The 10,275-nt window shown below is 40.6% G+C and overlaps 1 protein-coding gene across 3 annotated transcripts, besides 1 other annotated feature; it reads left to right on the plus strand.

Moving 5' to 3' along the window:
- The first annotated feature begins 7,516 nt into the window (after nucleotides 1–7,516).
- Nucleotides 7,517–10,018, plus strand: FAM24A (family with sequence similarity 24 member A). 3 transcript variants are annotated; one of them, NM_001029888.3, is made up of 3 exons: nucleotides 7,517–7,726; nucleotides 8,540–8,666; nucleotides 9,669–10,018. In NM_001029888.3, exons 2-3 carry the CDS (start codon nucleotides 8,542–8,544, stop codon nucleotides 9,859–9,861), a joined length of 318 nt encoding a protein of 105 aa, NP_001025059.1. In that variant the 5' UTR covers nucleotides 7,517–7,726; nucleotides 8,540–8,541; the 3' UTR covers nucleotides 9,862–10,018. The 3 variants fall into 3 exon arrangements, with proteins under 3 accessions (NP_001025059.1, XP_016871128.1, XP_016871127.1); XM_017015639.2 differs by having other exon boundaries at nucleotides 7,517–7,628; XM_017015638.2 differs by having other exon boundaries at nucleotides 7,638–7,723.
- Nucleotides 8,800–9,094: a silencer, noted in NCBI's record as "tiled region #13232; HepG2 Repressive non-DNase unmatched - State 9:DNaseU, and K562 Repressive DNase matched - State 9:DNaseU". NCBI's record gives its function as "represses a minimal TATA promoter and a strong SV40 promoter by Sharpr-MPRA in HepG2 and K562 cells {active_cell/tissue: HepG2 | K562}" and the evidence as "EXISTENCE:reporter gene assay evidence [ECO:0000049][PMID:27701403]".
- Nucleotides 10,019–10,275: the final 257 nt, after the last annotated feature.

Here is a 10,275-nt window from a genome sequence, read left to right on the forward strand (position 1 = left end):
TAGCATTAAATGCCTATATCAAAAAGTCTGAAAGAGCCCAAATAGACAATCTAAGGCCACACCTCAAGAACTAGAGAAACAAGAACAAATCAAACCCAAATCCAGCAGAAGAAAACAAATAACAAAGATCAGAGCAGAATTAAATGAAATTGAAACAAACAAAAAACAATCAAAAAAGGTAAGTGAAACAAAAAGTTGGTTCTTTGAAAACATAAACAAAATTGATAGACCATTAGCTAGAGTGCCAAGAAAAGAAGAGAGAAGACCCAAGTAAGCTCAAGTAGAAACAAAACGGGATATTACAACAAATACCACAGAAATACAAAAGAGCATTCAAGGCTACTATAAACACCTTCATGTGCACGAACTAGAAAACCTAGTGGGGATGGATAAATTCCTAGAAATATACAACCCTCCTAGATTAAACCAGGAAGAAATAGAAACTCTGAGCAGACCAATAGCAAGTGGTGAGATTGAAATTTTAATTTAAAAATTGCCAACAGAAAAAGGTCCAGGAACAGATGGATTCAGAGCTGAATTCTATCAGACATTCAATGAAGAATTGGTACCAATTTTATTGAAACGATTGCAAAAGGTAGAGAGAGAGGGAATCCTCCCTAAATCATTCTATGAAGCCAGTATCACCCTAATACCAAAACCAGGAAAGAACATAACAGTAAAAGAAAACTACAGACCAATAACCCTGATGAACATAGATGCAAAAATATTCAACAAAATACTAGCGAACCAAATCCAACAGCATATCAAACATAATCTACCATGATCAGATGAGTTTCATACCAAGGATGCAGGGATGGTTTAACATAAAAAGTCAATAAATGTGATACACCACATAAACAGAATTAAAAACAAAATGTAAAATCAAGGTAAATGGCCTAAATGCACCACTTAAAAGATACAGAATGGCAGAATGGATAATCACTCACCACGTCGTCTGTTGCAAATCACGTGATCATCTCAATAGATGGAGAAAAAGCATTTGACAAAAATCCAGCATCCCTTTATGATTAAAACCCTCAGCAAAATTGGCATAGAAGGGAAACACCTTAAGGTAGTAAAAGCCATCTATGACAAACCCACAGCCAACATTATACTGAACGGGGAAAAGTTGAAAGTATTCCCTTTGAGAACTGGAACAAGACAAGGATGCCTACTTTCACCACTTTTATTCAACATAGTACTGGAAGTCCTAGCCAGAGCAAGCAGACAAGAGAAATAAATTAAGGGCATACTAACCGGTAAAGAGGAAGTCAAACTGTTGTTGTGTGCTGATGATATGATTGCATACCTAGAAAACCCTAAAGATTCATCCAAAAAGCTCCTATATCAGATAAATGAATTAATAAAGTTTCAGGATACAAAATCAATGTACACAAATTAGTAACACTGCTATACACCAACAGTGGCCAAGCCAAAAATGAAATCAAGAACTCGACACCTTTTACAATAGCTGGAAATATATATATGTGTGTGTGTGTGTATATATATATATACACACACATATATATATACACGTATATATATATACGTATATATACACATATATATGTACATATATACACACGTGTATATATATACGTATATATACGCATATATGTGTATATATATACGTGTGTATATATATGTGTATATATATGTATATATATACGTATATATATACACACACACACGCACACACACACACACATACATACACACATACTTAGGAATATACATGACCAAGAAAGTGAAAGACCTCTACAAGGAAAACTACAAAACACTGCTGAAAGAAATAATAAACAACATAAACAAATGGAAACCCATTCCATGCTCATAGATGGGTAGAATCAATATTGTGTAAATGACCATACTGCCAAAAGCAGTCTACAAATTTAATGCAATTCCCATCAAAATACCATCACCATTCTTCACAGAATTAGCAAAAACAATCCTAAAATTAATAAGGAACCAAAAAAAGAGCCCACATAGCCAAAGCAAGACTAAGCAAAAAGAACAAATCTGGAGGCATCACATTACCCAACTTCAAACTTCTATAAAGCCATAGTCACCAAAATATGGTACTGGTATAATATGATACTGGTACAAAAATAGTCACATAAACCAATGGAACAGAATAGAGAACCCAGAAATAAAGCCAAATACTTATAGCCAACTCATCTTCAACAAAGCAAACAAAAATTTCAAGTGGGGAAAGGACACCCTATTCAACAAATGATGCTGGGATCATTGGCAAGCCACATGTAGAAGAATGAGACTGAATTCTTATCTCTCACTCTATATAAAAATCAACTAATCAACTCAAGATGGATCAAAAACTTTAAGATTTGAAACCATAAAAATTCTAGAAGATAATATCGGAAAAACCCTTCTAGACATTGGCTTAGGCAAAGACTTCAAGACCAAGAACCCAAAAGCAAATGTAACAAAAACAAAGATAAATAGAATAGGACTTAAACTAAAAAGTTGCTGCATAGCAAAAGAAATTATCAGCAGAGTAAACACGCAACCCACAGCGTGGGAAAAAGTATTTGCAAACTATGCATCCATCAAAGCACTAATATCCAGAATCTACAAGGAACTGAAACAAAAGAAAAAAAACATAATCCCATCAAAAAGTGGGCTAGGGACATGAACAGACAATTCTCAAAAGAAGATATACAAATGGCCAACAAACATATGAAAAAATGCTCAACATCACTAATTATCAGGGAAATGCAAATCAAAATCACAATGTGATTACACCTTACTCCTACAAGAATGACCATAATGAAAAAATTGAAAAATAATAGATGTTGGCATGGATGTGGTGAAAAGGGGAATGCTTCTACCCTGCTGGTGGGATGGAAAACAGTATAGAGATTCCTTAAATAATGAAAAGCAGATCCACCATTTGATCCAGCAATCCCACTACTAGGTATCTACCCAGAGGAATATATGAAAAAGATACTTGCACATGCATGTTTACAGTACCCAGTTCACAATTGCAAAAATATGGAATGAGCCCAAATGCCCTTCAGTCAACGAGTGGATAAAGAAAATGTGGTTTATTCATACTACTCACCCATAAAAAGGAACGAAATAATGGCATTGGCAGCAACCTGGATGGAGGTGGAGACCATAATTCTTAGTGAAGTAACCCAGGAATGGAAAACCAAACATCTTATATTCTCACTTATAAGTGGGAGCTAAGCCATGAGGGCACCAAGGCATAAGAATGATACAATGGAGTTTGGGGACGCAGGGAGAAGGGTGGTAGGGGGATGAGGGATAAAAGACTACACATTGGGTACAGTGTACACTACTTGGGTGATGGCTGCACCAAAATCTCAGAAATCACCACTAAAGAACTTACCCATGTAACCAAACACCACCTGTTCCCCAAAAACCTATTGAGAAAAATTAAAATACTTTGTTAATAAAAAGATAAACCATGTGATGAAAACTTTCAGAAATTATTTTTTAATTTTATTTTATTATTATTATACTTTAAGTTTTAGGGTACATGTGCACAATGTGCAGGTTAGTTACATATGTATACATGTGCCATGCTGGTGTGCTGCACCCATTAACTCGTCATTTAGCATTAGGTGTATCTCCTAATGCTATCCCTCCCCCCTCCCCCCACCTCACAACAGTCCCCAGAGTGTGATGTTCCCCTTCCTGTGTCCATGTGTTCTCATTGTTCAATTCCCACCTATGAGTGAGAATATGCGGTGTTTGGTTTTTTGTTCTTGCGATAGTTTACTGAGAATGATGATTTCCAATTTCATCCATGTCCCTACAAAGGACATGAACTCATCATTTTTTAAAAATAAAAAATAATAAAAAAACTTTGAGAAATTATTAAAAAAATAAACGTTAAAGGAAAAAAAAAACAGACTGGAGCTCTCCTCATGAACCCACTTGCAGAAGTTATTGGTCATAATGGAATGTAGGTGCTGTGAATGCAGAACCCTGTACATGTAGCCTCTGACCAACTGCCTGACAGCCTTAAATTTCAGAAATGAGGCCAGAGACTCCCAGCACGCACTCCCCAGACAGTCTTCTTTGTCAGAATCACCTGGGGGACTTGTTAAACATGAAGGTTCCACAGCCCTAACCCAGATCTAAGGAATCAGAGCAGAATGAGGTGTGGTCCCTGAAGAACCATTGCAGGAGATTCCAGGGCTATTATTCAACAGGCTGAACATGGAGTCCCTGTTTTGGGCTCTGTGATGGTTAATATTGAGTGTCAACTTGATTCGATTAAAGGATGCAAAATATTGTTCCTGGGCATGTCTGTGAAGGTGTTGCCAAAAGAGATTAACAGTTGAGTCAGTGGACTGGGAGAAGCAGACCTACCCTCAATCTGGGTGTGCACCATGTAATCAGCTGCCATAGCATCCAGAATAAAAGCAGGCAGAGGAACTTGGAAGGACTAGACTGGCTGAGTCTTCCAGCCTACATCTTTTTCCTGTGTGGGATGCTTTCTGCCTTCCAACATCATACTCCAAGTTCTTCAGATTTTGGACTCTTGGACCTTCGATACAGACTGGAGTCTGAAGTCTGCACTATTGGCTTCCCTACATTTGAGGTTTTGGGACTCAGACTGGCTTCCTGGCTTCTCACCTTGCAGATCGCCTATTGTGGGACTTCACCTGGTGATTGTGTGAGTCAATTCTCCTAATGAACTCCCCTTTATGTATTCATCTATCCTATTAGTTCTGTCCTGTTAGAGAACCCTGACCAACACAGGCTCTAACACAGTCCCCCTCAACCTGTGCCTCTGTCTCCCCTGGGAGATGCTTAGAAAGGCAAGTTCATGGGCTCCCCCCACCAAACCAATGAATCGGATCTCTATGGTTAGGCCCAGAATCTGTGATTTAACAAGCTCTCTAGATGATTCTTACGCACACGCAAGTTAGAGAAACGCTGCTTCAATAAATGGATAAGTCTCAGAAGAAGTAGACTCAAGATTCCAAAAACTCAGAGTCGGTGTCTGTGCAACCTGTGTGTTCAGGAGATGCTCCTGAAAGTTGCTGTTTAAATGAGAACTGTGGGATCCAGAAGAGAAGTAGTAAAGCTCTTTGACTTGTTGAGGAGTCAGAAATCTTAAAACCTGATGAAACCAAGTGATGATTCCAATTAAACAGTCATTTGCAGACTTTTTCTAGCAGAGACCCATTGGTAAAGATTCCCTCAAAATCTTGTCCTCACTTTCACACCTTTTGCCTGGATCCAGCCTGTGGGCAGAACACACCTGTGGCTGGAGAAGAGCCACAGCAGAAGAGTTAATTACTCACATTGGCATCACAATTTTCCAAACTGTGACACATGTGTCCTTGTAGAAACCTCTGAGACACTAAAGGCTGCCACCGCCATCATTGTCAAACCTCACACCATTCATTATCCCTTCACTTCAGAAAAGCAGCAGCAGGCTTAGGGAGGTGAATTGCTTTATTAGTCTTGGTATCAATAGATGGTGAGGATGGGCTTGAAATCCAGGACCCCTTTCCTTCTCCCTATTTTCATCTCTCCTGTTCCCCATGCCCATTTGGGTTTTGGTGTAGAACCTTCTTATTTAGAATTGATTCTCTTTCACATTTGAAATCTATGGAAAGGTGAAGCAACTCTTCCTCCATGGCTGCCTCTCAAGGTAAAGCAAATGTTAGCATCTGCCCAGTTGCCCCTTCCTTTTCCCATGTCCCTACTTCCTCATACTGAAAGACAGTCCCATGCCTTCATCAAGCAAGGAAGCCTAGGATTTTAGTTTTCTGCCCATTCTGAGATCATCTCTCCAAATACCCTCAGAAGATACATGCTCAAGATGGCTTATAGGAAAAAACACTAGGTAAAGAAACCTGAATTCTCCTTCCACCTTAGTCACTTACTTGTTATGTAACTTTGGAGAAAGTATTTGACCTTACTTGACCTCAGTTTTCTCTTCTGTAACCACTGGTCTATGTTTAAAAGCACAGCCTCCCCAGCCAGGTTGCATGAGTTTCTTACTAAAATCCCAATCAACATCTTCCAAGGATGTTCTGTAACAGGCAGAAAAAAAATCTAAGATTATACTAGAGCTCGAAGCCCTGCATGTTGGTATCCTTGGCCAATTTTTTCCAAGTCCTCTCCTGCCATCTTCGCTTTTATGCATCTCCAGTCAAATGGCCTTTTTCTTGTTCCTTGACCACACCAAACTTATTCCATGCTCAGGACATCAATTCATTGTCTCTTCTCATTCGGGCGTGACTTTTCTGGTTATTGGTATTACGGGCGATAATACCCGTAATACCATTTTCATTGAATCATGGACATTTTGACTTTATGCTAGGAGACTCTAGGTCCTATTTAAATATTTTATTTTATTAGTTAGTCACTGACTAGGTTTAGCATGCAGATCCTGGCTTACTTTTGTGGGATTAGATTCCAATTCCAATTTAATTTTCAGAGGTTTCGTGGTGATATTTTGGTCTACTTCATTTATCTGGTGTCACTGGGGCTTCTAGGTCCCCGAAAGTGCTGCCTGAGGGACAGAAGGAGGGTCCCCAAGCTGGAGCCACCTGGAGTCCAGGGGGGTCTCTAGCACATGGGAACAGAGTGCTTCCTGGGCTAGGTCACTGAATGTGGTCAGATCCCTGCAGGGTCTGAGGAGGGGAGTCTCATGACTAGCAAGGAAGATGAGCACTTCCCCTGCAGGCTTATTGCCAATGGGGTTCACAATCCACCCAACTTGCCACTGCTGCTGGGAAAGCCTGGGGTTGTCAGCAGGACTCACATTAAATCCGGGAATGGAATAAGCTAGATTGAGCATTGGAAAACACCAGGCCTGTCTACCTCCCCTGTTCTACTGCTATGGAGCTTACCCAGGCCTGGGGTCCCTAGTAGTTTGCTTTCTCCTTTCCAATTTCAGAGTTCTCCTTTGTTTGATTTGTGTTATTTCCAGGAATAATAGTTATGCTTAGCAGGGAGAAACATGTCTACACAATCTTCCTTGAACCTGGTGTCTCTTCATTTAATTTTACTACACTGGCTGGATATAAGTACCTTAAAATCATACAAACCAGACTAGAACAGATATCCTGTTCAACTTTCATTTTTGTACTTTTTTTAACTATAAAGCATTAAAATCTTCCCATGTCAATGGAAGTGTGCTTGAATCCTAGTAAACGGCTCCATATTATTTCATTGTGCAACTAAAATCTAAAGTCTAACCAGTCTTCTATAATTGAAATTTAAATGTGAGGTTATTTTACCCTTCCCACATTTCTTTTTCTTTTATTTGCTAAATTGAAATCTCAAACTTGATTTTGATTAGCAGTCAAACTCCAAAAATTAATGGAAGGGAAATAAGACCTGAAAAGGTGAAAGACTTAGAATTAAGTGATTCAAAATAGTATTTATATTTCACAAAAGCAAAAATATACCTATGGAATAGAATTCAGAACTCCATGAAAGACAGCTGGTGTCCCGAGAGCTGATGTCACACAGCCTGTGGCATGAATGTCAGAATAGGCCCATTCTACCAGCTCTGGCTGAGCCTGAGCTTCCAAAAGTGAGCTGAGCTGTTCAACCTTGGATCTTAATTACTCCTAGCAGGGATAATTAGGTCCCTCTTTCTCAGATTACAGGTTTGAGAAGTTCCAAATATCCGATGCCCTAGAGGTTTTTTTCCCTTAATTTTATTGTTACAATTGGCCTTCATCTAGCTCTGGATGGTTGAACTGTAGTAAGTATGCTTAGCTATCAGATTGGTTATTCTTCTCTCCTGGCTCACTGTTCCTCAGTTTCACAGTGTTAGATTAAGCAAATTACTTATTCCAAACAAATTGGGTTTCCTGGGAGAATTTAGTATTTACTAGGAAAAATGGCAGAGGTAGGCCTATGGTCTACTAGGAAGACAGAATGAGGGACAGGGGCTCCTGAATAAGCTGGCTCCTGGTCTCTGCAGACCACGTCCCATTTCTGAGCCCTGGCAAAGGTTTGGCTGGAAGTGTCAGGAATCTCCTTAAACCCTGAGATAACCCAGTTGTTGGTGGGAAAATTGAAAACTGTTTTTCCCAAAATACTTATCACTTACAAAATAGATTTTCATATTCTCAGTATTGTTGGACAATACTTTTTAAACTAATTCTCTTAGTTTCATAAAATAATTTTAAACCTAATATACAGTGAGGGGTGACTTCTGACCCTCTGAGTGAACATATTTCAGGGCCCAGGTGGTGGGGAGTGAAGTCATCAGCTCCAAGGCAGGCCTGTGGTCATTTCCAGCTGCACATCATGCCTGTGAGAGGGAAAGATTCTTCCCACTGTCTGTCATTATGATTTCCTTCCCTCTGGAGTTTGCATTTAAGTCCATTTTTACCCATAAATAAGTCCTTTTGTCTGCCCCTGGACCAGCTTAGGATCCTAGGACTCTCTGGAAAGATTTGCTTGCAGTTTACATGTGTCTGGGGTTCACTCTTCCTCTACTAACGGAAGGTTGTTTAGTGGCTGTGTGGGGAGGAAGGCCACGTTCTGCTTCCCTGCACTTTCTCCTTAGGCATGGCAAAGATGTTTGATCTCAGGACGAAGATCATGATCGGCATCGGAAGCAGCTTACTGGTTGCCGCGATGGTGCTCCTAAGTGTTGTGTTCTGTCTTTACTTCAAAGTAGCTAAGGCACTAAAGTGAGTCATGTGGGGGAAAATGAATTACACCTCCTCAAATGGGATACCTGGACTCCCTATTTGAGCAAGGTCATTCCTTTCTGCTGTGGCCATACCCCTGAGTGAGTGAGGACAAGAACAAGAAGCAGTTTTGAAAAGGCAGAAATGGCAGCTGAGTGTAAAATCTTTTACCCTTCTGCCGGGGGTTTGTAGAATGTTCTCAGTTTAAGGCTGTGAGTGTCAGTGGTGCTTGGCTGTCACTGGACCTCAATGAGTTTACCATCAGGTGTTTAATTCAGCACCTTGGCCAAGCCTCCCTTTGTTCAGCACCTTGGCCAGTGCCCCACTCTGTTCAGCACCTTGGCCAGTACCTCCCCTGGGCACCGTAGGCTGAAGACTCCGTAGGGAGACTGCATTAATGAGCCTCTGCCTTGTGCTCATGCGGAGGATGGGCTGGATTGATCTCCTCTTGCCTGAGTTGGGAGCTCTCAGAGTGTTCCTTCATTTATTTCTGGTGGCCTTGAGAACAAAGAGGTGGATCTTTAGGACTCTGGGACAGCTGACATGTGTGAATATCCTGGGAGACAGCAGAAAGAAAAGGGAATGTAGGTTGAACAAAAGACAATTACAGTTTGGGGAGAAGACTCTTCAAGTACCAGAGAGGTTGGTTGTCAGACACAGTCCATTCTAAGGGGTTCACAGAGACACATCCCGGAGCCTGGGGCACAGCTGAATGCAGCACCTTCCCATCATTCCTGCATCTCGGGGGCCTGCAGTCACCAGCTGGGTGATTGCTTGCAATTCACTTACCCTTACTTTTGTAACCTGAGTTTACATTTATAGCAGTCGTAGGAGAGGAAGGGATTCAAGAGGAATTTGAGACAAGGGAGAGAGCCTTAATGTAGGGCTGGTGTTCATGTTTGATTGGCTTCAGCACTAAACTTCCCAGATACCCCCAACAATTCTAACAAATGGACTGAGAAGAAAAATTCTAAGCCTGAGCTTTGTGTGTCTTTTCTTAAGAGCTGCAAAGGACCCTGATGCTGTGGCTGTAAAAAATCACAACCCAGACAAGGTGTGTTGGGCCACGAACAGCCAGGCCAAAGCCACCACCATGGAGTCTTGTCCATCTCTCCAGTGCTGTGAAGGTTGTAGAATGCATGCCAGTTCTGATTCCCTGCCACCTTGCTGTTGTGACATAAATGAGGGCCTCTGACTTGGGAAAGCTGGGCACAAAAATCTTCATGAGCAATATTTCTTTCTTAATAGAATGTTTTATTATTCAAGTCAAGTTCTAGAGTGTTTACATACTATTATATAATGTACAGTGTTATTTTCTGTACTTCTGAATAAATGTGCAATATTGGAAATAATCCTCTGCCTCCAGTATTTTTGTTAGTTATAAACATCGCTTATTTAAATATGTGTATTACCTACTTTGGGATTTGGGGTCACTAGCTGGTAATATTACATTGCGGTAAAAGAAAGTTAGAAAATCAAAGTGTCCAGCACATCTCCCACCCTACAAGGAAAACACACATTGATATTAGGACATTTCCAATGTCAGTCCCAGCTGACCTCACCCAGCTGGAGTAGCTCGTTCGGCTCTCCTGAGAGCTGTGGTCGCTGG

Source organism: Homo sapiens, chromosome 10 (genome assembly GCF_000001405.40).
Source record: "Homo sapiens chromosome 10, GRCh38.p14 Primary Assembly".
Lineage (NCBI taxonomy): Eukaryota > Metazoa > Chordata > Mammalia > Primates > Hominidae > Homo > Homo sapiens.

Bases quoted from the DNA above. Each gene is read 5' to 3' on its own strand.
- FAM24A (NM_001029888.3), top strand. From the start codon at position 8,542: ATGGCAAAGATGTTTGATCTCAGGACGAAGATCATGATCGGCATCGGA. The intron at 8,667-9,668 runs GTGAGTCATGTG...TCTTTTCTTAAG, and splicing joins AAAGTAGCTAAGGCACTAAA to AGCTGCAAAGGACCCTGATG.